The sequence below is a fragment of the Homo sapiens genome, chromosome 6 (assembly GCF_000001405.40).
Source record: "Homo sapiens chromosome 6, GRCh38.p14 Primary Assembly".
Taxonomy (NCBI): Eukaryota; Metazoa; Chordata; class Mammalia; order Primates; family Hominidae; genus Homo; species Homo sapiens.
In genome coordinates this window covers 162,849,143-162,876,732 of record NC_000006.12, presented here as the reverse complement: position 1 = coordinate 162,876,732, position 27,590 = coordinate 162,849,143, and the positions used below count along the sequence as shown (strand labels likewise).

The 27,590-nt window shown below is 39.8% G+C and overlaps 1 protein-coding gene across 20 annotated transcripts in view, besides 4 other annotated features; it reads right to left on the bottom strand.

Moving 5' to 3' along the window:
* The window catches only part of PACRG (parkin coregulated), a 588,369-nt gene that overhangs the window by 438,768 nt on the left and 122,011 nt on the right, over positions 1–27,590 (bottom strand). The window lies entirely within an intron of this gene.
* Positions 17,835–20,935: an enhancer, noted in NCBI's record as "VISTA enhancer hs1358". NCBI's record gives its function as "enhancer in: forebrain[9/9]" and the evidence as "EXISTENCE:transgenic organism evidence [ECO:0001131][PMID:17130149]".
* Positions 18,916–19,478: an enhancer, noted in NCBI's record as "OCT4-NANOG-H3K27ac hESC enhancer chr6:163278287-163278849 (GRCh37/hg19 assembly coordinates)". NCBI's record gives its function as "activates a minimal SCP1, AML or CMV promoter by ChIP-STARR-seq in primed H9 embryonic stem cells {active_cell/tissue: H9 hESC(primed)}" and the evidence as "EXISTENCE:reporter gene assay evidence [ECO:0000049][PMID:30033119]".
* Positions 19,479–20,042: an enhancer, noted in NCBI's record as "OCT4-NANOG-H3K27ac hESC enhancer chr6:163277723-163278286 (GRCh37/hg19 assembly coordinates)". NCBI's record gives its function as "activates a minimal SCP1, AML or CMV promoter by ChIP-STARR-seq in primed H9 embryonic stem cells {active_cell/tissue: H9 hESC(primed)}" and the evidence as "EXISTENCE:reporter gene assay evidence [ECO:0000049][PMID:30033119]".
* Positions 19,582–19,876: an enhancer, noted in NCBI's record as "tiled region #2130; HepG2 Activating DNase matched - State 4:PromP". NCBI's record gives its function as "activates a minimal TATA promoter and a strong SV40 promoter by Sharpr-MPRA in HepG2 cells {active_cell/tissue: HepG2}" and the evidence as "EXISTENCE:reporter gene assay evidence [ECO:0000049][PMID:27701403]".

Here is a 27,590-nt window from a genome sequence, read left to right as displayed (position 1 = left end):
GTTGACAAATGGGATTTAATTAAACTAAAGAGCTTCTGCACAGCAAAAGAAACTATCATCAGAGTGAACAGGCAACCTACAGAATGGGAGAAAATTTTTGCAATCTATCCATCTGACAAAGGACTAATATCCAGAATCTACAAGGTACTTAAACAAATTTACAAGAAGAAACAAACAACCCCAACAAAAAGTGGGCAAAAGATATGAACAGACACTTCTCAAAAGAAGGCATTTATGCGGCCATCAAACATGAAGAAAAGCTCATCATCACTGGTAATTAGAGAAATGCAAATCAAAGCCTCCTGAATATTAAAGTGATATCATGTAAACAATAAAGAGAGAAAAGATCTCCCAGGGATCCTGCTGGCAGTTGCTGATGCCATATTCTCTCCTGTATTATTAGAGGACAGCAGGAAGAGAGTGATGGTTTCCAGTGGAATCTTGTGGCCTTGGCCTCCCTTCCCACTCTTGACCTCCTCCTTGTCAGAAGAAAGCTTCACAGTAGTGTAAAGTCTCCCTCAAATCCACCTACAATGAGGTTCCACTTGTCATTGCTTTCTTTGGAGAGGAACCCCCTATGATGGTGACCATGAATATTGAAACGCTACCCTCCAGATGGCTGCACCCACATGAGAACAGTGATACCCGGGAAGCATGCATGGTTTTAGCATGGAGGAGGGGGTGGTGAAGGAACAGAGCTGGGAGGCCTTTTGTAATCTTCGGCTCTATCTAGGGAAGGAAATGTATAAACATTTTCCTTCTCATCTCTGTTCACTTCAGACAAGCATGATGTAGAACAACTGGAGATAGACACATGAGTTCAAGCTCCAGGGAAATAGAAAGAAAAATTATTTCCAAGACTGAATGGTCAGTAAGCATTTAGAAGATCATACTGGAGGAAGAAGACCTCCCTGGAAATACAACTAATGAAGACTATTTAAACATAAAACTTGGAGCATTAGTGGAATGCCAGGTTGATAACTCCATGCATTTAATGTTGTAATGTGACCCCAAGTCAAGGACACAATTATTGCAGCAGAATTTTTGGGGGAAAACCAGCCTTGGACATAGACTGTATGTTACTTAGAGGAAAAGGACAAGTGGTTAATGTACAACCTATGTGAAACAAAAACTTACAGAATAATAAAGATGATATTTCTTTCAGCCACTTTTGGCTAAGAGTTTTTAAAATGTTTAACGAGAAAAGATGGAGGATGTCTAAACACCATACTACACAGATGGTGCAGGTGAAGGAAGCATGTGTGTGTGAATGTCTGTGTATGAATGCCTGTGTGTGAATGTGTGTGCATGACTGTGTGGGAATGTCTGTGTGTGAATTTCTGTGTGTGAATGTCTGTGTATGAATGTGTGTGAATGTGTGTGCATGACTGTGTGTGCATGTCTGTGTGTGAATGTCTGTGCATGTCTGTGTGTGCATGTGTGTGTGTGAATGTGTGTGGATGACTGTGTGTGCATGTCTGTGTGTGAATGTCTGTGCATGTCTGTGTGTGCATGTGTGTGTGTGAATGTGCGTGGATGTGTGTGTGAATGTGTATGAATGTCTGTGTGTGCATCTGTGTGTGAATGTCTGCGTGTGAATGTGCATGACTATGTATGTGTGAGTGTGCAAATGTGTGTGAGCACATGAATGAATGTGTGAGGGTGTGAATGCATGTGTGAGTGTGAAAGCATGTGTGAATATACATATGTGTGAATACATACATGTGTATGAATGTATGTGGGCGTATGAATGTGTGTAAATGTGTGTGACCGGAGGCATGTGACTGTGTGAGTGTATGTGTGTGTGTATATGAATGTGTAACTGTGTGAATGTTTATGTAAGTGTGTTAATGGGTGTGTGAGTGTGAGAATCTGTGTGAATGATGTGAATGTGAGTGTGAATGTGTGCGAGTCGTATGAATGTGACTTTGTGTGTGATGTGGGAATAAGTGTGTGCGAGTGTGTGAATGTATATGTAAGTGTGTGAATGCATGTGTGTCTATGCATGTAGGAGCCATGCCTCATTTCCTCTCTCTGTGCCCTGGTACTTGTGGATGATTCTGACTGGCCTCCCCCCACACTGATGTGATAAAATCTAATCGCCACATTGGGGGGTGTCCATCAGGCAGAGATTTGAGGGAAAGAGGCAAACAGCCTTGTGGTGCAGGTCACGTGCTTCCATCTGCGACCTCCCAGGAGATCTGGCTTTGAAGCTGACTAGGCATTTCCCAGTCTGGTGAATTGGCTGGCATTCTGTTTGCCACTGGTTTCTTGCCCTCCTGTGAACAGACCCCTGGCTATCACTCTAAGAAGGAAGATGGATGAGTGTGGATCCAGGCACCTAAGCCCTAGCCCAAAACCCTAAATGATATAAAAAAAATAAGGACATTCCAAGTCACAAACTGGTAGGCAAATCGGCAGCTAAAGTTTGAAGGGAAAGATTAAAATAGTTTGTCTTATTAATAAAAGTTCTTTAAGCCATCTCAGAATTTGGAGGGGAGGAAGTAAAGTTACAAAAAAACTCAACTATTTGATACCCTAGCCTTCATCTGAGCATATATATACATATATATATATATATTTTTTTTTTTTTAACTCCCTCATGTTTTTGCCTGATCTGTCTGGTTTGGAATACAAAACAATTGTAAAACAATTCATTCCAATATTGAGTTTATGCACATTTCTGAAATAATCACTATTGTTAATGTGAGGTCTGACATGGAAGTGCACAATCAGAAGCGCTGCTCACTTGTAAGCAATAAAATCTGTTTGTAGCTTGGTTTCGTTTATTGAAAAGAAGATAACTTGAGTTACAAGGAATCTAAGAGTGAATGCGCAGTTATTTGGCTCTTCCATTTGTTGCTGAATGGTAGGCAAAAATGTACTGGCTAATCTTATTTTCTTTTCATGCCTAGTGTCAGGGTAGCATATCAAATTAATTTTAAGCTGGCCTGATGATAAGATGTGAGTCACTGAAAGTTTTGGTGCCGAATTGGTTTTTCAAGCTAGCTAGTTTCCAAAGGAATCTTTACCACATTTAGTGGTAAAGTGCTTTAGTGACTTTAATGACATTTAGGATCTAGTTGGGCTCTAAGAGGGTCATCCTGGTTTGCTTCATTGCTGGTTTCATGCCCAAAACAACTTCCAGTGACATCAGGACATGATTTTTACAGTATGGGCTTTGCTTTGGACATTTTGCCAATTTTATGCTTTCCTACTTTGACCAGATTACATAATTTCATAGCATTCTTTCAAGAACAATTTTAAAATGTCTTGCTGACCTACAGCAATAGATTCAGTGCTAAGACAGACACATATGTGTTGAGTAAATGAAAGTAAAGGTTTAGAAAGAAATAACTCCTACCACTAAAATTGAGAAAATAATGACATGTGACCTACCATTAATGAGTCAATCTGTATTTTATTAGGAATCTATGATGGACAGGGCACTATTGTAGGTACTGAGGAAGATGTGGCAAGCCAGAAACGTACCCCAGTTACCTAAACACACACACACACACACACAAACAGAAAAACCAAACTACTCTTGGAATTTAGTATTCTTATTTATTTCTTGATAACCACATCTCATACGTATAAATAATACCTGTAGTTCCAGGGAAAAACATATTAGGCAGAAAGCCCAAGCTAAGCGTTCATCTCTGGCATCTGGGTTAGGCTTACATGTGCACTGTAAATGGCTGTATTACACATTAAACTGGTTTTTGTAACTTTTACTTCTTAACTGAGTAATTTTTTTAATGTACTAATAAAATTGAGATTCTGATACCTAGTGATATCAGTCAGGCCTTGAAGCTAAAATCAGTATAATTATAAGAGATAATAAAGTATTGCACTACCTATGAGCGCTCATTCCCTGAAACTCTATTCATGTCTCTTTATGCAAACTGTGCTTGGAAATCACTCAGTTCAGAATAAAGGTGGGGGTGCCTTGAGCAGCGGTGGGATGGTGGGAACCAAGGTAGTTGCTAGGACAATGTGGGTGTCTGGACCTGCAATTTTTCTTGAAAAGGTTTTACAAAAATAATCCAATTATAGAAATTACCTCCCTCCCTCCCTCTTCTTTCCTGTGAACGTTTTCTATAATCTGTACAAGTTTTATTACAATTTTTAGGGAAGTTTCTAATTTCTAATTTTCTAATTATGTATTTATTTTTTAGAAAGCCAAAAGGCTGGCTTGAGTAGGAAAGAAAAATCTGGAAATGAGCAATTTCTTATAGACAAAAGTAAGTGGGGTAATGATACATTTAAATATCTTCTTTCTTGTTTCTCAATTCAACATCATTAATTTTTGTTGGCGTAAGTTTATAATACAGCATTCTAATACTCAACTGCTAGAGATAAGATTTATTTAGAAGTATTAATCTATTTACAGAATGAAGATATTTTAAAATTACATTTATCAAGTGACCAATTTCCTCCAGATTTTAGTCAACCTAACAATACCGCTGTCTACTGTCTTCCAATGACACTGAGCACTGAGCTCTCATAGAGAACTTAGGGCATCTGGAGTTAGAAGCCCTGGCTATGAGTCCACCTCCTTAAAATCTCTCATGACTGTGGTTTTGGCAAGCTCTGAACTTCCCTCTCTGTTCTTGAGCCTCCTTATCTATAAGATGGAAAACATAATGTCACATTTTGTAGTTATTGTTAGAATCAAAATTAATTCAGCTAAAAAATGGTAGTTAATCTTAAAACATATCTTACAGTGTTTGGAAGAATTTAAAATATTCTATTGAGAAAGTAGTCTTTTGTTTTTTTTTGTTTTGTTTTGTTTTTGTTTTTGTTTTTTTTTGAGACGGAGTCTGGCTCTGTCACCCAGGCTGGAGTGCAGTGGCACATCTCAGCTCACTGCAAGCTCCGCCTCCCAGGTTCACGCCATTCTCCTGCCTCAGCCTCCCGAGTAGCTGGGACTACAGGCGCCTGCTACCACGCCCAGCTAATTTTTTGTATTTTTAGTAGAGACAGGGTTTCACCATGTTAGCCAGGATGGTCTCGATTTCCTGACCTCGTGATCCGCCCGCCTCGGCCTCCCAAAGTGCTGGGATTACAGGCGTGAGCCACCGCGCCCAGCCGAGAAGTAGTCTTTAAGATAAGTGGAAGTGCTTGTTTTATTTTTAATGAAATGATTGCTGGTATTTGAAAACATATATATGAGAATGTGTAACTCATGGTTAATGTATTTTTATGTTAGCATAAGCTACTGATGATTTCCAAGTTCTCTGAGGCACAGAAGAAGGCCACTATGGCAGATCTTAAATTATTGCTATAGTTTGTATAGTGCTAAACAATGTTCTTCAGTTTTAAAAGTTTTATATGCACTCAGAATAGTATCAACCCTTTACATTTCTGTAAGACCTTGGGGAAATACCTTGTACCAGAACTAACAGATCTTTGCTATTTAAAATGGTAATCACATTCAAACTATAACTTCATAAAATATATGTGCCTTATATAAACATCACCTATTTATCAAACTTAATAAAAATAAAATACAAAAGTATGATTGCATACTTTTATTGATAAATATTAAGAAATTCCTAAAAGGAGCACAGTTACAATGTTTACAAAGCCTTTTCTGACTAACCCATCTAGAGTATGTTACCACCCCCACATCACCTCGTTTTAATTTTCTCATAGCAATTGACATTTTTTGGAATTATGCCTTTCCTTGATTAAATAACTAATTGTCATTTCCCACTCCCAAAACTTAACATTCTATGATACCACAGGCCTTTACTTTTGTTCACAGTCATATTCCAGCATTGAAAATGGTGCCCCAGTCAATTTTCAATGCATGAAAGAAAAGAAACAAGAGAAGGAGGGAGGAAGGAAGAGATTAGAGATCAGGAGAGAGCTATCAACGCAGCTATTTTTGTGAGTCTGGCTGAAGTAAAGGTAATAAATATGTTACAACTTTGGCCTTTATTATATCAGAAATTTCTACCCCATAAGAAACACTCATAAAGTAAGATATCAGTTGTGGTGGCTTTATTTCCAATAATATATGGATAAACCAGAGCACATTTAGAAGAAATGTATATGTTCTCATTCATAAGTGGGAGCTAAGCTATGAGGACGCAAAGGCATAAGAATGCCACAGTGGACTTTGGGGACTCAGGAGGAAAGCATGGGAAGGGGGTCAGGAATAACAGACTACGAACTGGGTTCAGTGTGTACTGCTTGGGTGATGGGTGCACCAAAATCTCACAAATCACCACTAAAGACCTTACTCATGTAGCCAAACACCACCTGTTCCCCAAAAACCTATGGAAATAAGAATTTTAAAAAAGAAGAAATGTACGTGTGGTAGCAAGAAATCACACTGGTAAGTGAATGAGGAGTTATAATAAAAAGTCTCATTGGAATATCCCTCTGAGTGAAAAGTTAAAAAAGTTAGAGTATTGTAATAATCCATGCACAAAGAATAATACTAGTAGAATGATTCTCTTCATTGAACGCTTGGTAATCATTAAGCAGTGTGCTAGTTGCTTTGTATGCATTCCCTGCATGTGAAAAATACATCTGTGAAAATGTGCTTAAGGAACGCAGGGACACATAATAGTGAATAGAGTGACAGTCACCTGGATTTCCACGGTACCAAACCCAGGAGGGGCTCCCAGGAATGTCTCCATTCCATCTCAGAAGCCTTTCAAAGAGGACACCCAATCTCCCAGGGGCAGATCATCTTTTAATGAGTCTTCTAGCTCCATTAGTCTATAATTTGCCTCCTTTTTATAAAACCATATAGACTACAATTTCCTAATAGAGCAACCAAGAAAAAATAGCAGACATTAAATAATCGCACAAAATGCTCCATGTACTGTCAACAGGGCTCATAGTATATTTTCAGGTAAATTTTTAATTACTTGCAGATTACAATGTTTAATTAGTTTCACAGTAATAATAAAATGTTATGGAAGAATATTCTTTGCTGAAATTGTAATTTTATTCTGCACATGGTATTATTGATAATGAATTTATCAAGAATCAGGCTTTCCAAGCACTACTTCCAACTGTCTAGCTTTCCAACTCTGAAATTATATTAAAAATAAATCTGTAACGTCTTACAAACTCCTTTGAAAACTTGTAAGGTATTAATTTTATCATGGTAAACAAAAGGGCCCCCATAACCTGCCACGACTTTTTATAACTACAGCATTTATCAGAGCAAGGGCAAAGCACATATTCATTAGTCCCTTGCCTACCTCTTCCCTGAACACAAAAATCACGCTTTTTTTCCTGACAATAGTCTGAATGGAAAGGTAAACATTTCAAAAATTAAATCTCATAAAATAAGGATTAGTACACTCAAAACTAATAATATACCGTGGACTCTACATCTTTTTTTGTTCTGATTTATTATTCCCAAATAATAAATTTCAGCCTTTTGCAGACAAGGTATTCTACTGGGATAATCTCAGAAAACATGCTAAGACTTTCAGGCTATGTTACATAGATGGAATCAAAGTATCAAGGAACGTTCTGAGCCAGAGGGATCTTGGAGCCGCCCTAGCCCAGCCCCTTCATTTTACTGATAATGAAATACATCCACTGTTATTTGGGATTTGCCTTTGCTGCTATTCAGTGGCAAACCCCAGCAAATCTTTGCTGTTCTCTTCCTCTACATTCTGTAAAGACCCATGAAGCCATCGTCACCAGCAGCACAGAAGCAATTCTGAGCAGAGGATGCACATGTCATCGTCCCTCTGTGTACCTGCGTGATGTAACGAGGAATAATTAACGGTACCTACCAGTCTAACTTAGGAGCTTTAGGCATGCTGCCCTGTGTCAGCAGCTATCAGGTTAACGTAGTCCTCCTAGAACAGGTCTAAAAGGAATTTGGTTTTAGGTTCTAGTGCAGAGTTCAAAGAGCCTGTGTCCTTTTTCAGTAGGATTCAGTGTTGGTTTGTGATTGTGTAACAATCCCAAACAATTCCCCATCTACAGGAAAGACAGGGCATCCCGCGGCAGACCCTGTGCGCATGTGCATGGCGAAGGAGTTGCGTATTCTCCTCCCGCAGGAAGCAGGTGATGAGCCGGAAAGGAGGCTGTGCTCTGGCGGCTCGGGTGCGCCCTAGGCTGTGAGTAGGGATCTCACCTGCATGGGGCGGGGCTGGAAGAAACTCAATGCCAGAGCAAGGGGTCCTCTCCAGGCACTCAGACAGAGTCCCTATCCTCTGTTCCTCAGGGGAGAACAACTCCCAAGGGGGAACGACTGTGGACCGCGCATCTCACCACTGTGCTGCGGCGGCTGGCCTGCCACAGCTCCCAGCGCTCCCAGTCTACCCAGCACTATGGGAAGCGCTTTCCTCACGACAATCTAAAAGATGTAATTCTGTCTGTTAGATAATTCTTGTTCCATTTTAAAGAGACAAAACTGAGGTCAAAAAAGTCTGATGGTCGCTCTAGTAATAGCGGGGAAAAGGCCAGGATTTAAAACCACGGCTGTCCACCTTGAAAGCCCATTGGCCTTTCAGGGCGGCCTATCGCCTCTAGTTCCAGGCTGGATCTAGGAACACCGTGTATCCTATCCTAGTCACCAAGGCCATGTGCAAAGGCATCTCTGCTGCCTGTTCAAAGGTGTCTGAAAATCCTTTGAAGCAACCCTCTCCTTATTCAGTGAGAGATCCAGCTTAAAATGCAAAAGGGTCTGGAATAAGAAAAGTCATAAGAGAAGTCACCCTGAAGGGTAAATGGCGCCTGCAATACAAAGCTAAGCTTTCTTCTCTCCCTTTTATTGATGAGAAAAGTGAGGCTCTGAAAAGTTCTGAGAATCGTCCAAGAGCCAGCAGCAAAGTAATGGGTTATAGAGAAAAGAATTAAACCAACGTCGGCCTGGCTCCAGGCCTGGTTCTTTCCCTCTACGACGCTGCCTTCTAGGACGAGGGCTCCTTAGAGAACCATCTTCTCTTGCTGGAGAAAACCGGGCCTGTTCTGACTGGGAGATGTTCCCAGGACCCTAGAGGGTAGCCACCTGGTTCATCAAGGTGTGTCTGTGTCACAGGGAGAAAATATTTTAAAATCTCATTTCAGTTCGGGCCAGTTGCTGGAGGAGAAATACATTTTTCTTGCGGATAGTTCTTTTCGTTTGGAAAATATCTCAATGCACATTTTAATAAGGCAAAGATGGCGGGCCTTTTGAATAGTCTGGGAGCGGAGAGAGGAGAGTCCCCTTGCTCTGCATAATACAGAGGAACCTGAAGCGGCTTCAAGGTAGGGACCCTGGAGGAGAAGCCAGCACAGCCCTTCAGGAAGCCAGGGTGCAGGGGATGAAGGCCACTGTGTTTCCCACAGTGATGTCCAAGAAGTCTCACATCTGTTACCAGAGATGTGGAGGGAGAAATGGCAACAGGGATGGAGAGATATCCAAGAAGGTCCCACAGCAAGAGTTTGGAATAAAAACAAAAATAGAATAAAACAAAACCCAAAATAACAAAACACAAGGTAGGGTCCTGAGGCTTCTGATAGTATGTGAGAGGAGGGATCAAGCTGTTTTAATTGGGTGCCAAGGTCAGTGGGCTAGAAGACTGGGGAGCATTCAGGTGACACTTCTCAGGGGCAATTGAGCATTTGGTACTGAGCCGCTGGCAAAGGTAACTTCACAGTGGAAGCAGGACAAGGAGTGGAGACCTATTGCCCAGTCTTTCCCGCTGTGGACCCTGGTTATCAGCTAAGTATCACTTATATTTATTATTTACCATGCAACAAATATTTCTCCATGCCTATCATGGACAAACTCTGAGACAAAGAACCACAGAGGAAACACCTCTTGAAGTTTAGTCAAGAGAAAATGTTTGGCTTTCCTGATGCACTGATTTACTTCCTTTAATCAAACATGCACAGTGGAGCTTGTCAAGTTTCCTGTCATGAGTATCTCTGGTATCTTTTGGTTCGGTTGGGTGCACTTTGCTTTTCTTAGCATGATTACTCTGATAGAATTCTCTTTCTCCATCCTGCTTTCTTTTCTGTTTAGGCTTTTATTGTAACTGTGTCTTTTAAGTTCCCTCAAACTGTTTTGGAAGTAGGAAAGTCAGTAACTAGTTGAAACAGGGGAATTGGAAATCAGCATTCTAGTTTAGAGATTTTTTTTTTTCTTCTGTGTATTTGGTAAACCTCTCTTGAAATAAACATGGAATAATGAAATATCTGAAGTGGCGAAATCTGAAGTGCAGAAAACTCTAAGAAGTTATAGCAAAAGAGCGAGCTCTATGGCTCATAGGGTTTCTATGTCAGTAAGGATAGTACCTGGCACATAAATGTTGCCAGACTTTAATCATAAATATTATAATAAAGAGTAATTGGAGAAGAAGGAGATGTTTTTAGAAGATTTCTGGAAAAGGGATGGGTGACGGTAGGGCCTAGGGGAGATTAGTTGGTAAAGACCGGAAGCACAGGACTCTATATGCTGCATTCAATAAATGTGTAACTTCCTTTAAAATTATTTTACATGAGCAATTTCTCTCACCAAAAGTATCACCTCTGTTTTTCTCCCACAAGTATTTTTCATCCCTCACTCATGCATTTGTTAATCCATTTGATTAATTAGAATGCTCTGGTAAAAATGAGTTTGGGTTCATTTAATTTCTTGGTTTTCAGAGTGATAACTAGGAAATCAATTCTGCTTCAATCTTTCATTGCTGAAAATATTCTCAACATCTATTAGCTTATTTTTTCACCCCAGCAAATAACATATTTAATATTTCTGTAATATTTCTTTCATGCATTAGAAAACATGGGTATCTCTGGTTCATCATTTTAAATAAATCATAACTATATAGGTTTGTAATATGAAAACTTGGCTAGCTATTTACTGACCCTAGCACTAACCTTGGAGGCTGATTTTTAAAACAAATCTTTGCTATTTTGTTTGTTTTCCAATGATTTCAAGCTCTAAAAGTAGAGCAAAAAGAAAAAAAAAATCTAGTAAATTAAAGGTTCTATTTAGCTATGTTCCAGTTAATTCGAGCCTTTCTGAATGCTAATTACATGAGGCAAGTTAAATTTATTCTGGAGAAGATAAGCCTTTTGTGAAATAAATTCAAGGAGTTCTTAGTCTTCAAGAAGTGTAAAATAAACTTTTAAATAATTTAAGTTATATGTAATGTACTTAAACATTTTCAGGATCATATAGCAGAGTTGAGTGGAATTATAAATCTGAATAGCTACAGTCTAAGCTTTTTAAAATCTTCTTTAGAAAGTTTAAAAGGCATCCATGTAGTCGAAACTTAATATATACATTAAAAAAGAATCATGTTTCAATGTGAAGCACTCAGATTAATTTACAATGAGAAGGCTTACTGTCAATTATATTAAGATGCTGTATCCCTATATCCTAAAACAGCAGGTAATACAGCAAGACTATCATAGTCAGTGGAACTATATCATTTTCTCAACATACTCATATACATTAATAATTAAACTTCTTAATTTTATGGGAGCCAAGGCAGATTGCATACATAGCCCACAATTTTATATCTCAAATAGCATTCAGACCAGAGCAGCTGTGAGGTCTTAAATAACCAGTATATGCCAATTATCATTGAGAGCCGCAGTCCAGAGCAAGAATTTGGCCATTTTCCTAGGTTTCTTGAGGTTTTATCCCGTCCTAGAGGGAGTATATTACACATGTTCACAAATGTTCGGTTAACATTTAGTAATTGGTGAAAGATTCACTCGAGGTTCTGCAAACTCCGAACAGCTATAGATCATTCTCCTAACAATCACTATGTAAGTCTAAAGGCATTTCTACTGGATTCTTTGGTTAAAAAAATATTCTTTGGACAGGAAATGAAACAAAATATAATAGCACATACTTTATAGGTCAGTAGTGGGAACACAATAAAATAGTATATGAAACTTGCTCACAACAAACGTCTAGTACATGTAGTCAGTACTCAGTCAAGGTGTAGGAGTAATCAGAGGTGGAGAAGTCTCCTCTCTACAATGAAGTCTTTACCAGAAATGATTTTCCAACCAACTAAAGTATTCTTGGAGTTAAATGTCAACACTTGTAGAGACTGAAAGTTTATTTTAGTGAAAATTAAACTTTCTAAAATATATATACAACACTGAGAGTTCATTTAAACGTGAAAGCAAGGGCTAGAACAAAAGGAAGCATTTTGAGGTTTTCAAAATCTTGAGTCCATTTTCTCATGAAGATTGATGGATGGACAAGTAGGTAGACAGGCAGGAAGAAAGAACATCTGTCATCTGTCTCATTGTACTTCTATTTGCCTATCGTTAAACTCCCAGGATCAACAGAATTCTAGGTGCTATGTGTGAGCACCTAGAATAAGGCCTGGCACATAGTAGGTCATCAAGCAGGTATGGAATGAATAAGTATGTATTTGTTTATCCTAGAGTTATTTTTCCAACTCTACTCTGTGGCTATAATAAAATGATTTTTAAGAATATCTTTCATGTCAAATTGTGATATTATGGACATTAAGCATCAAAATATGGATAATTGGCAGTCAGAAATTTTGAAATATAAATATTTTTATTCAAGCAGCATGGGCAAAGCCTTAATCAAATGTCAACAGGGAACACACCACACAATTCAGAGGGAGAGGAAGAGCTTAAAAAGATAATTATTGGACGGTGAGATTTAGAAATAATTAGATTGTCATTGGGACTCAATGAGTAGAGAATTTCTGTATCTTCCCATAAAACTGAGAGGATGGAAAATTCCTTGGCTCCATAGAGAAAACAGATGCATCAAAGCACATGTTGGAAAGGAAATAATGCAGGAATCAAGAGAAGGAGAACAAGCAATGGAAGGCCTCAAAATAAGGATCATGTAGAGTAAAAATATAAAGAAAAATGAAGCAGAAAGGTAGACAACTCCATAACATTAAATAGGTAGGTATGAGAGCATGAATAATTTATTCAGACCTATATTCAAATCTTGGTTTTATCCATTTATTACCTCTGTGACCTTAGGCAAATTAAGTAAACTCTCTGAGTCTGTGGTTCCTTATTTATTAAATAATACATACATACGACATTGAAGTTTTAAGGATTTAATGAAATAACACATATGAAAGTAGCCTGCTGTGCCGCAGCATCGATGTTCTATAAATGTGAAGCTTTTGCTTATTGCACAAATGTGGTTTCAAGTTTAAACTTGGGTTACTCCACTGCTCAGTGGTACCCAGCCTGTAGCTTAGCCTCTGCTATGCAGTGCCATCCTCTTTTGTTTGGTTGTAAAGGAGACAAGTTTACCTTTTAGGGAAGAAAAAATAGATGCATTTGCCCACATGTTCTCAAACATCCTTACAAATAGTAACAAGGTGTTCTGAAATATATCAGTGACAACATAAGGCTTGTATTCTCTTCAAAGTTCAACATTGCTGATTATGTTATACATCAATCACTGCGCTGGAGGGACTCAAAAGTTTCCTAGCCCAACTCTCTGGTTTTACAAATGGGGGAAACCAAGACCCAGATAAGTGATGTTTATTCACGTAGTAACTTGATGATGTGCTCAACAAATACCAGTAGAGCACATAGCCCACATCAGGCACGGTACTAGACAAGAGTGCACGCAGACGGCTGAAGCCCAGGGGCTGCCCTCAGGGCCTGTGGATGCAGTGTGTGCAGGGCCCTTGAGTGGAAGCCCAGCCCAGGCTTTTTCCACTCTATACTGAGTAGTTTCCTGATGTGTTTAAGCCTGTTTTTACTTATGACATAGACTTGGGCTCATAAACAGGACCAACATGGGCACTGAATTTCCTGTTAATCACTGACCTGCTGAGAGTAGCAAGATTAAATGATTTCAAATTAATTTTGAAGCCAAATCTAACCCAGGCAAAAGGGCACAGAGGCCTCAGCAGCGCCTGCCTTCGAGATGAGACCAGCTCCAAAGCTCACCCCAGCCAGTCTGCACAAGCAGCAGAGAGAGATGCCTTGCAGCCTGGGATGTGGTGGCACTTCCCCAAAGTGGCTCTCTTCATCCCAGCACATGCTTTATCTCTGTCTTACTCTAGGGTTTACAGCATCGTGTTATGGATGAGGGTTGAGAAACGTATCTGAAAGCAGACAAGCAAGCTTTTCCAGTTATACGGAGTGACTTTCTGTACTAGTCCTGGATCTTTGCTCTCTGAGTCTGGAATATGTGGATACTCCCAGTTTATAAAGATGGCTCTGTGGCCACCTTGACATGGCACATTAAATTGAAATTCTGCTTCAGGTACAACTTAGATGTTGCAGCATTTCTTGTGTGCCTAGCATCAATTGCTTCTTCCTAAATGCATCCCCGTTGCCTTTTCAGGCATCTCCTTTCTTCTGCTGTATAAAGTATTGAGGGGGTAAACAAAGACGCTTCCCCTCTCCCCCACCACAGAGTATACAGGGGGTCCCAAGAGGTTCAGCCAGCACTTCCCTCTCACTTCCCAGTGTAATGACATGACAGAAGCTTTGCCCGTCTTTCTCCTTCGCCCCTATAATCCGGAGTCTCGTGAAAGGTGGTACAAGGGGGAATTGGAATTCATTCCCAAGACTCTCTGGGGCTACCTGAATCCTGCCTTCTAAATCTTGAAACACCTTCCAAACTTTTGAGTCACCTCCTCAGTCCTCTGAGTTCCCGTGGACTGTCCTAGAGGGAGCACAGTACAGCCTCTTTCTGACCAACGTGTGGTCAAGCCAGACAGAGAGGAGTTCTGTCGCCTAAAACCAAAGATCTCAGCTGACACAGAAATGCCAAGACCTTAGTGGATACAAAAATGCTGAGACCTTAGCAGACACAGAAATACCCAGACCCTAGTGGATACAGAAATACCCAGACCGTAGCAGATACAGAAATCCCACTCTGTGCAGACTCCCTTAGTAGCATCTCAGTGGGACAGGTCATAAACTATGAACACCAATGGAAGAGGAAATTTAGAGAGCTTTACAACAGAGATCTAAAGTGATTTCACCAACAATTATAGTGAGCATAACTTTAAGAGATTCAGTAAAAGATTTATCCAACAGTTAAGTACCCAAGACTTTCTGCCAGCACCTCTGCATCTCCACGATGCGATGGAAATAGATGTGTATAATGAGAGGTGGGTGGTGAGGCAGAGGGAGGTGGGTTTTGCTTAGAGCTTCCACGTTCCCTCTGTGGTGCTCCTTGTGTTGACGACTTCACTCAGGGTCTCAGTTGCTTTCGCTTTGATAGGTAGCTAAGAACACCTGCCATACTTTTCTGGCAGTTTCTTAATTTTGGAAGTTAAAGGAAATAATAAAAATTTGAGGAATATACAAGACATTATATATGCACCTATTATTGCTATCCTAACAGATCCTAGATCAAAGATTCAATATTTTGATTACCTACATTTTATTGTATTCCCATTCTTAGAAAATTGGCAATCTTAAAACAATCTTTACTAACTTTTTCTAAGGCTCACCTATGAGTGAAAACTGGGAATATATATCAGCCAATTGAATTAAGACATCAGACTAATAGCACATTAATTTTATTAAATGGTTACCAAGAAATTCTATTAACCCTCTCAGGTTCTACACTTCGAGCTGATTTAATCTACAAAATGCTTTGCATGTGTATGAAGTTATATATTTAAATGTTCTTTGCTGCCAGCTGTGAAGCCCATAAATATTCTTCTTGCAAACAAGAAGCGCACAGCCTTCATGAGAAGCAGTTTGCCTCCTTGTCCATTGTTTTTCTCCCCGATAGGCCTTGACAGCTGATTTACAGGAAGAGGCCTCACCTTATCTGCATCTGTATTGATGTGTTTGGTGAGCAAAAAAGCAACTAACAGACTTAATTTTAATCAGGGAAAAAATGGACTTTACTCATTCTCTCAAGCAACTACCTAAATTCATCAGGTTTTTAAACCATCTTCTCTTACCCTCAACATGGAAATTCTTCAAAGGCAGTACCAGGACAAGGAGAGAATAATTATCCACTCTAAGCCTCCGTAACTTGCTTAGGGAACATAATCATGGCTTCTCTTCCATGATATACAGCAAAACATTTCAAATTTGTACCTTTGATAAAAATTTACAAATTGGCAACAATACATTGACCAATCAGGAATTTGAGAGAAACCATTAAATATTAAATCTCAACTTATTAAAGCAAATGCTTTATACTGTCAAATCCTAGAAAATCTGTATTTTGGGCAGATAAAATAATAGCCACAATGATTTTAACTACACACATTGCAGATCAAAGACTCCAGACCACTTGCTAAATAGAAACAAGAATAATTCAACATGGCGAGTGGGACTCAAGTTTACATTGCTCTTAGGCAACCAAGTTGGCATGTTCTGCTAGACAACTTACTTTCTAAAGAATTGAAACAAGACTCTAAAACTCCCGTTTTTCTGTACCATTTTTATTTTATCTGTCTTCAGTATATATAAAATTCATTTGGTGAAAACTACTAGAAGAGGCCTTTTAACTTTAAATTACTCCATTTTAGAGACATGAAATGCACAGCTCTATAGATACAATAGGTATGGAATTACTTCTTCCCCTGTTACAAGAATGTTTTCTTTAGTTATCCTCTTGAGGAAACTAATAACGTTAATATTTGCTTCCCTTTATAGATGATATAAATTAGTTAAAATAAGAAAATATCTGTATAAAAACTAGTCTTTTTTTGTGTCTTCCTTCTCTCTCCCCCACCCCCACCTCCCTGCTAAACCCATTTTTTAGAAAGTATAACAGTCAAAGTTGTAAAATCCATTACTCTTGTAGGGGAGAAAAAATAATACCTTTTCCTCACCAGCTACAAGAGTCATGGCGGAGACTACTATAACAGAAGGCGGATTAACAAGAGAAAAGCATAAAAAAATTTATGTAACAAAAGTTTTCTGTGACACAGGAAGGTGCCTTCTGAAATTAAGACCCAAAGACCCAGGAAAAACTATGTAATTTTTTTGCATAGGTTCCAGGAAAAATGTACAGTTGTATAGAAATGTGACTGGACAAAAAGGGGGTACGACCTAATGTACTAAACTGAGGGGACTCTGCAAGGCTTATTTGTTTAGCTTCTTCTTGGCCTTTCTGTTCAGGGCAAGACACCTATCACTTGAGGGTCTTCAGGGGAGAAAGGAGAAGGTCAGAAAGTGGCCTTTCTAGGTTTTATGGTTTGCTTTGGCAAAGAGAAATTTTGGTTTCTATGAACCTCCTCAGGGGAGAAAGGAAGATGAAGGAAAGGAGGGAGGGAGAAGGTGAGAGAGTGACCTCCGAGGTGTCACATTTTGGGGTAGCGTGTTCTGAACCCTGATACTCCTCAGTTAAACGTGTGCTGAGTTGAATTTCTAGCCCTGCTAATTCAATTAGGAAAAGGTAGTTCCTTTGGGTTCATGTATAGAAACCAAATAAGTTAAAAATAACAAAGCTCCTCAGATAGTTGGGCAGATTTCATTCTAGTAGACATTTAAAAGAAATTGAAGATTGATGCATTTAAAACCAATAATTAGATGTTTTTATCATTGTACATTTCTTGCAACAACTCTGGCCATTTATTAGTCTATTTTTAGGTGAGAGAACAAAGGTACAAAAATGGCAAACGGGAAAAGAGACAAGCATAAAACAGCTTCGCTTCAATCATCTACTGAAAAAAAAAATGATAGAGAGGCATAAGTTCCTATGTCATCATTGTGCCTTCATGGAGGCCTCCAATTATTTAAGGTAGAATATTTTTGGGGTTCAGAACATGATACTCCAAAATATAGCACCTTTGTGTACTGTTTTAAGCTCAAGAAAATGGAAAACGCCGCAGAAGCAGGAGGGTCTCTGTGACTTTTCCTGTCCTCTGTCTCCTGAAGTAGGCATGGAAACTAGAATTCCCTCCACCCCTTCTTCCCTGAAACAGGCCATGACCGCAGGGAAGGCCACTCTTTGACCTGCGGCCTCACTTCTTCCCTGAAGACCTCATGTGACAGGAGTACTGCCCTATACCAGGAGGGAAGGAATGTCACTCAGGAACACGGAGAAGAAACTGGGCAATCAGGTCTCCCTGAGTTGCCCCCAGTTTGTACCGATTGGAGCATGCCATTTCATCCTCCAGTCTTACTTCTGCATGCCTGTCCATAAAAGTACACACATCTCTGTTTCTTTGGGTCTCCATTTCTGAAGGCTCCCATGTCACATAACCTCTATTAAATAAATGTGATGTTTTTCTCTTGTTACTCTGTCCTTTGCTCTAAGGTTCTCAGCCACGAACCTTGTGATAGGTAAGGAAAATATATTACTTTTTCTCCCCTATAATATAGTGATTGGTTTGGCTCTGTGTCCCCACCCAAATCTCATCTTGAATTGTTATACCCATGGGTCAAAGGAGGGACTTGGTGGGAGATGACTGGATCATGGGGGCAGCTCCCCCATGCTGTTCTCATAATAGCGAGTGAGTTCTCATGAGATCTGATGGTTTAAAAGTGTGGCACTTCCGCCTTCTCTATCTCTCTCCTGCTGCCATGTAAGATATGCCTTGCTTCCCCTTTGCCTTCCACCGTGATTGTTAAGTTTCCTGAGGCCTCCCCCGCCATGTGGAACTGTGAGTAAATTAAAACTCTTTTGTTTAGAAATTATGCAGTCTCAGGTAGTTCTTTATAGCAGTGTGAAAACAAACTAATACATATAGTTAGACATTACTTAAGTGCTAAACACAACATTCACCGAATATTCAAGAGTTAATATATGTCAGCACAATGATGATACCAATATGGCTTCTAAATTAATAGTTAATGTTTTACAGTAACTTTTCATAAACCATTTTCTTGTCAGGTAACAACAAGAATATACACACATTTATTTTTAAAAGCCTTCTGTCAAGTTGCATTAAAAGCAGGTTGCAACATGATTGGCAGAATTAAGAAGCCTTTGAAACAGGTAACACAGTTGCATTTAAGTGTGGGCAACGAGAACATATTTTATATCTTAGATCTAGTTTATTAAAGAGACCTTAAATTAAAAAAAAAAAAACAGAGCAAATGGATCATCTGGAGAATTCAGAGCTAAAGTGATTAATTAGACCTTATTTTGTCTTGAACAGATTTACTAAGCATTTTTCAAATAGCCACATTGTTTGTAATTACCAAAATCACACCTCCATTGGCCAGCCTAAGTTACTTCATGCATGAATGACAATCTGATGGAACACTCTTGTTAGAGCTTCATTCTTCATTGTAATTAGCCATAATCATAGCCTTCCTGGGTGCATGAGAATGTGCAAGCCGCTATTCACAACCCCAACCCATTTGAATATGAATCTTCTCAGTAAGGAGCAATAAAATAGGAGAAACAAAGCAGTTTCTCTAGGGAATTTTGTAAAGCATCTCTACTCTAATTCTGCCTCCCTTCAAAATGTTCCCTCTCCGGTATCTGGATTCTATTTGCTAAAACAAGGGTGGCTTAATGAGGACAATGGCTTATTATTTCTTAAGTGACACGGGAGGGCCCAAGTATTCCAGGCTTAGTTCTTTCAGTCTTTGCCAAGGACACAAGGAACAAAAGAACAAGCAAGTGTGCGTGGAAAAGAGAACTCGGACTGGGCTATACTCTGTGAACTCTCGGAGCAAGATGGGGGCCTTTGCTATTCCGGAGCTCAAAGGCTGTTGCTTGCTTGCTTTCTTCTTTCTCCCCTCTTTACCCACCCCGCTGCAAATGACTCAGACATTATAGAAAAAGGCTCAAAGCAGCAGGGATTGAAAACAAAGGCTAAGTGGAGGAGGGGTGACATGTCTGATCCCGTCCCAAGCACATTCATAGTGAGCCACCTACTGGCAACTCTACTTTTCCTTCTGTTATTGTCTAATCACCTAAACCTCTTCAGGGAAAACCTAGGTAAACCCGCTGGAGTCACTCCAGATGCCTTCTCAGCCAAAAATGGGAAAAACAAAATTCAGGGGGAAATAAGCTTCAGAGTAGTGCTGTGTCTTCAGAAGAAAACTCAATCCTTCCAGCAAAACTATGGCTAAGTAGCAGGTGTAAAGAATTATTCAAACGGCTATTTGTAAAAGAATCATCATTTGACTTATGAAGCAAAATCAACTACTTATTTACACTAATCACATCATATATGAAAAGTGTGGTGCTGCACACGCTACAGATCTGGTGCTCCTTCAAGACCTTTACCATTTGTGTGGAGAGATTTTTTTCTTCGAGACGTGCCGCTCACCTATTAAGATACCTGTTTAGATTATTTGCTACCAGAAGATGCTCCAGGGCTGCAGGAGACTCGGGATGATTCTCTGATCATCTCCTGGGCTTGGACCTTCATCATGTTGAAATGACTCTCCCAAGGCCACACAGCCGGTTGAATGTATCACTATTAAAGTACCCGATAACAATACAATTCAGCACTTCCACGGCTATATGCACAATGCAGTTTTAGGCCAGGTGCGGTGGCTCATGCCTATAATCCCAGCACTTTGGGAGGCCGAAGTGGGAAGATAGCTTGAGGCCAGGAGTTCAAGACCAGACTGGACAAAAGAGTGAGACCCTATCTCTACAAAAAATTTAAAAAATTACCAGGCATGGTGGCACACTACTGTAGTCCCAGCTACTCGGGAGGCTGAGGTGGGAGGATCTCTTTTGATCCTAGAAGTTCGAGGCCGCATTGAGCTGTAATCACACCACTGCACTCCAGCCTGGGTGACAGAGCCAGACCAAGTCTCTAAACACAACAATAACAACAACAACAACAAAACCAAAACTCGCAGCTTTGGACCTGAACAAGGATAAGTGGCCCTCCCGGTCAAGGAAGGCATAAAGTCCGGCATGGGTGGAGGTGGCCTGGGACGCTGTCTGAGAAATGAGGGGCAGAACCTGAACCCGGACTCCGTGAGAAGGGGCCATAACTGACTAGCAACAACATCTGTTCACTGGTGCCCAAGGAAGGCCAGTTAAATCACCTGTCTCCCACCCAGTGTCCACTGTGCTCCAGGAACTGCTACGCCCTATGGAGGCATCTCCAGTGGAGAAAACATGACTAAACGTCCCAGAAGCAGGGAGTTGGGGCGCTGGGAAGCTGGGGTGGGAACACACACCGCTGGGACGATTGGGGGTATCTATTCCCATGTCCCTTGTCATAAGTTACATTCAAATTGACAGGAGAGCTTCTTCCTGGCTATTTGCTTCTCTGATCTCTCTGTTGTCTCGTACCATATTTTGGGATTATTTTATTTTGAAAGCCATTTCAATATTTTTAAGTCCCTCACTCTGTATTTCTTCTTTCTCCATTTTTTTTTCTTAGAATAACAGTTTAAGACAGATGGCTATAATAATTCCTTCATCAGATAATAAGATATAATTTAAGACACATTTACAATACTTACATCTCTGATACGCAAAAAAGAAGAGTGTCTATAAGATTAGGAATTAGTCTAAACTGAAGTCCTGAAGGGCTGACAGAGACCACTTTTCCTACTAATTTCATCAGTGTCATAAATCACAATTATAACACGATCATCATGTACTGTGTTCTTTTTGTGTGCCAGATAGGGTGCTAAGTGTTTTACAGGCACTCCTCCACCTAATCCTTACAACAGCTCTACCAGGTGTCAGCGCTGGGCATTATCTCCAGCTTACGCCGAGTCTGAGAAGGCAGCAACAGCTTGCTCAAGATCACACAGCTAGTTAACAGCAGGGCTGGGAGTGAACGAAGGAATCATGGTTCACATGAGACTGCGTGGGGAGTCCTCTGCTCCTAAGATTCAGCCACTTCAGCAGCGACCAAGCCAGGCGCGCTCGCAGGGCACAGCGTAGAAGCGATGCTGCTGCAGCGGCTGCTCTAGGAAGAGCGCAAGGATACGGTGATAAGAGGAAGGGCGGAAGAAACGCTTTTCGGACTCTGTGCACCTCCAAAGGGACTACCCATGTGAAATTCAATGGCAAGTCACGGTCTGCTGAAGGGACAGCTGTGCTAAAACCAGCGAAGTGGGGCTTTTCACACGTGTCATCAGGCTCATTTAGGTGAAGTCAGAATCAAACACAATTCATAGTAGGCCTAGCTGGTACAGCCACAGACTAAACTGAAAGGTTTATAACTAGCCGTACAGAGGCCTTTTTAGTCATACTCTCATGCGTACATACCAATGAATGTCAGTTACACCATCTATCAAAACAAATATAGGTTTTAAAACTGCATACACAAATATTTGCTTTAATTTCTTTTTGGAGAGAAATAAAGTCAGTCTCAAACCAAAAAATAATAATAATAATGTAGGATCTGTAATGCTTGCTTTTTAATTCCTTCTCTATGAGGCCTGATTATGTGTCAGACAGCATTATCTGGAGGTCACATGGAACTCTAATTCCTGGAGCAAAGTCAAAACATCTTTCAATTCTACTGGTTAAACAAACACACAGATGGTTTTCTTTTGTGGAACTATGCAGGTAGAAGTTTCTGTTCCCAGTTTAATAGATCATTAGCTACTCATGGACTTTCACAAATAAAAAATGTGTGCTTTGACAAAATTTAATTCCACAAACATTACTGAATGCTTACTATGCGCAGGATACTATATATAGTCAAGAAAATAAAGATGAATAAAACAAAATCATTCAATTAAAAAAAAAAAAAACAGAAAGAAAATGGTCTCCTTCTCCCAGAACTAGCAGGTTAATGAGAACTAAATATATAAGGCAAATACAAAATAAAAACTATAGTTTAAGTCAAAATATGTGGGAAGTAAAATTTATGGACATAGATTAGTAATATATTTCCTTCAACTGTTGACCATAGAATATGTTAGAGATTTTAAATGTATAATGATACTAATGATATTAATAATAATAGTTAATATTTATACCTAGCATGGACCCAACAATATTCTAAGTTCAAGAATATATGGTCTTATTTCATCTTTATAATAAATGACAACCCTATGAGGTAGATACATAGATACAAACAAGGAAACCAAGACTTAGAAAGAGGTTAAGTACTTTGCCCAAGGTTTCATATCTGGTAGTATAGCTTTTTAAAAAATGTTTATTTTAGGTTTAGGGGTACATGTGAAGGTTTGTTACATAGACAAACACGCATCATGGGCGTTTGTTGTACATACTGTTACATCCCCCAGATGCTAAGTTCAGTGTGTGTTGTTTCCGCCTTTGTGATCATAAGTTCTTATCATTTAGCTCCCACTTATAAGGGAGAACATGTGGTATTTGGTTTTCTGTTCCTGTGTTATCTGGTAGTATAGCTTTGTATGCATATTTCTTTCTGTCTTATTAAGGCTGTGATAAAAACAAGAAGATTGGCTACAAGGACTGAGAACACCACAGTTCTGTGAATAAAATAATAAGAAAGGATGATTCGAGGCTGATAGTAACACATAATGGTAGGATATCAGGAAAGTTAAAACGTACGGTAAGTCAGTGGTTCAACCAGGTATTGCAAAGAAAAGCAAAAGACAGAATTTTCTGCCTGATCTCCAAGGAGATCAAGCCATTCTGGAGCAGAGATTTTTATACTGGGTACACAAAGCTTTGGCATACAAAGGCTTTCCAAGGAGCACCCAAATGCAAATAATTTTAAGGAGTTCAATTTCCAGATTTTAAACGTTCAGTGTACTCTTTTCTGAAAGTGATGATCTGCTCAGGAAAGCCCCTGGTGTTCTCTTTTCTCTACTCCCCTTTCACAATAGTTCTGCCGCTTTACAAAAGAAGGAAATCTCTCATCCATCCCAAACCTGACAGTTCACTGTCTCTGGCTGCAAGGCCCCAGGTCACCAGGCCACAGGCTCCGTTTGAAATCATGTTGGTGACGGTGTTGAGAAGGGGAATGGCTTTGACGGCTGGGCAGCAAATCCTGTTGTAAGTCAGGCAGTTTCTAGTTTTTGGCTTTCAAGAAAATTGAAGGCAGACCCGACAGTTTATCAGTGATGAGATCACTAAAAAGAATTATTGATTAATGAATTGCTATGTGATTGTTGGCATATAATTCTCAGGATAAGTTCAAAGAATTGAGTCACATTGTTAAAATTCCTTTCATTCACATCTGCTTTATTATAACAGGGCTTTCTTGTGCTTCCTTCTATAAAATAAAACATAGGCTCGAAATTAATGCTGGGCCTCATTTTATCTAACAATAAATTAGTATTCAGCCACATGTATGGACCAATTGAAAACAAAAGCCTGGACTATCAAGAGATGAATTTCATACAAAATGTTACTTTTATGCTTAAAAATCACCTATCACAATTTGTAATACATCTATGTTTTTCATGCAAGGTAGGTCCCTTTGTGGTCTCTACCTGCCAGGGTTCAGGACAAATTCCACAGTCCCGCAGGAGAAGGAGGCTCCCCATCCCACAGAAGCGCGTCTTAGCCTCTCAGCCTGCGCTGGGGGTTCTGCTGCTGGCAGCACCCTGGCCCCCGGGGGTCAGTAGTGCTGGTGCCAGTTCCTTCTGGGAGTTGTCTGAGAAAGATGCCCAGAATTGAGGACCCTGGACGCATAGGAATACTTAAACCCCACCCTACTCTAGTCAGATGGAGGCAATCACCAGTTCTGGGGGAAGCTGATCACAAAAAAACTGGATTGAATTGTAGCCCCTCTGAGACGGAGAAGGATCAAGCCCTGGGTTCTAGAGTCATCATGGTTCAGATTTACTTGTGGACAAGCCTGCTGGTTAACAACAGGTGTTCTGAAAGTTATGCATTAGTAATACTTCTAATGACAAAATTTATCCAGGATGGAGCTTTCCATCTTTCCTTCCTTCCTTCCTTCCTTCCTTCCTTCCTCCCTCCCTCCCTCCCTCCCTTTTCTTTTCTCTTTTCCCTTCCTTCCTTCCTCCCTTCCTTTCTCCCTTCCTTTCTTTTCTTTTCTCTTTTCTTTCTTTTTCCTTCTATACTTTTCACTCTCTTACATAAGATAGGTAGATGGACACCATTTCAAAGTGGTGTCTATGTATAAATACACATTTTAAATATATTTAAATTCTTGGACACATGGTTATGGGAAATTTTTTAATGTTTAAATTAATTTACATATCATATAATAATCAATAATAATTTTCAGAATAAAAAGTTACATTAGGAAAACATTCTGAGAGGAGAGTGAAATGAAAATACAGTTTCAAGGGGGATAAAAGAACAACATAAAAATCTGGCAATTAAAGAAAAGCAAATTCATGTATTTTTAAAATGACTGATGGTGAGAATCAGATCCCTAATGGTACTAAGAACTGGCTGGATACAATTAACAGAGTGAAAAAAATAATTTTATTTTTAAATGTCAATATTTGTATTTCACTAGAAATTACATTGCTTGCAACTATGATAAACATGCATTTTAGATGCCAGAATAAAGATCTCTAAGAGACTACCATTTTTCAGAATTCTTTTGGGATAAATGTGAATGAGTTATTTTGAAGGTCAGTCCTCTAGAGAAGAGAACGTGTGTGGGAATGAAGGAGATCATAGTGTGGGTGAAGAGACAGCAGGAGCCGAGCTGGGGAAGCTGTGGCCAGGGTGCAGAAGGGAGGCAAGGAGACAGGAGAGGACAGGAGAGAGAGCTGGGCATTTATTAAGTGGACCTCCCTGTGAATCACAATCTACCAGCCGCAGCTGGACACGTGCTCACCAGGAGGTTCAGTGGCAGGTGGGGATCTATCAGATTGGTCCTTGTTAGGGAAAAATCAAAGCATTTTCCTCCGCTCTCACCCCACTGCCGCCGCAGTCAACACAGAAAATGCTGTGGCCAAATGTGTGGGGGATTTCCCCACCAATAGGCAACAATCAATTCTGTAGTAAATGCCAGCTGGGTGTCCTAGGATTCAGTCCTGACACTGTTCACCTGGAGATGGCATCCGATCCCTTGGGCTGGGGGCTCAGGCCCGCAAGACTGTCTCCTCCCTCCCCCAGACACCATTTGCAAGTCTCGGCCTCCAGAATTTCTGACCAACCAGCTTCAAGCTGGAGTTTCCTCAACTCCCTCTTTAGTTTGGTTAATTTGCTAGAGTAGCTCACAGCACTAAGGGAAACACTTAAGTTTACTGGTTTATTATCAAGGATATTACACAAAATACAGATGAAGAGATGGATAGGGCAAGATATGGGGGAAAGGGTGTGGAGCTTCCCCGCCCTCTCCAGGTGATCCACCCTCCAGGAACCTACACATGCTGAGCTATTCCGAGCTCCCTGAGCCCTGTCCTTTTGTGGGTTTATGAAGGCTTCATTACATAGTCATGATTGATTAAACCATTGTGCATTGGCCATCAACTTAACCCTCAGCCCCTCTCCCCTCCCTGGGTTCAGGGGTAGGGCTGAAAGTTCCAACACTCTAGTCATGCTTTGGTCTTTCTAGTGACCAGCTCCTTTCTGAAGCTACCTCTGCCATCTGTTGATTTATTTGCATAAAAAAGGATATCATTTTGGAGATTCTAAGGATTTTAGGAGCCCTATGCCAGGAAATGGGCTGAAGACCAATTATATATTTCACTATATCATAGTTTTAATCTATGCATGCCTACTCTATCACATTAGAAAGCCAACAAGACTCACTATAAAGCTACACATATTTTATGAACACAAATAAGTTGTTTAATACAGATCTGATGAACTTTGATTTTACTTACACACATGAGATTGACAGATCATAGACCATGCACTTGATTAAAGATATTATCTGTAAAATTCCCAAATAAAACTCATTGAAAGTTGGAATCAGCAAACATTTCCCCTAAATATAAGTTTTCATGCTGCTGCTTTGTGATTCTATTCACATGCACATTTATGGATTCTTAGAACTGAGCATGACCTTAGAAACAGCATTTTGGGGATAGTTGAGATAGAAATATGCTACCCTACAAACTTCTTATTAATGAAGTTATAAAAAACAATATATTAACTCATTACTAGTCAAGTTGTCAGAATCTGCTGAGCATTAAAATGTGAGAATATTGATTAGCGACTATTTACTGTCAAATGGCAAACAGCATGCCTTTTCTCTTTGAGATATTTTAAATCTATCTTAATATTTAGATATTTCAAAAATCGAAAACTTACAAGTTATAGTCTAATTTGCCACTATGATTTTAATAATTGCAAATACTAAATTGTAGTTTTCAATAATCTCTGTACTTTTAGAAAGATATAAAAAGTAAATACAGCAATTCAAGAAGAGTAAGCCTCAAAATGGATACAGACAGGAACTATTCTGTTATAAGTCCTCCAATCTCAGACAAGCACAAAAAGCCTGAGCAGATCACCCATATCAGCTGGTTATCATTTAGGGCTCTGCAGCATTCCCCTGGGGGGTGCACTGTTTGGCAATTGGTCAGCCTGCTCACTGCACTGCACGTGACTTTCTCAGCAGCAGGCACTGGGAATGGGGCATGCATTCTTCACATCAGTGGAGCAAACAGGGAGCTGACTATAGCTGCAGAAGCTCAAGATGCTTTCACCTTTCCTGTTCTTTTCTCTCTCCCCTGTCTCCGTGCTCGTCTTATTGCACACGGACTTGTCTGCTTGTGTGATATTCCCCACTCCTTTACATGTGTGTGATTAATTAAAGCTTAACGACTGTCTTAAAGGGTCCTTTTTTCTTTTTAACCATCCCTTCACTCTTTTTGCACGCCAATGTACTAAATTGCTCACTTGTTCC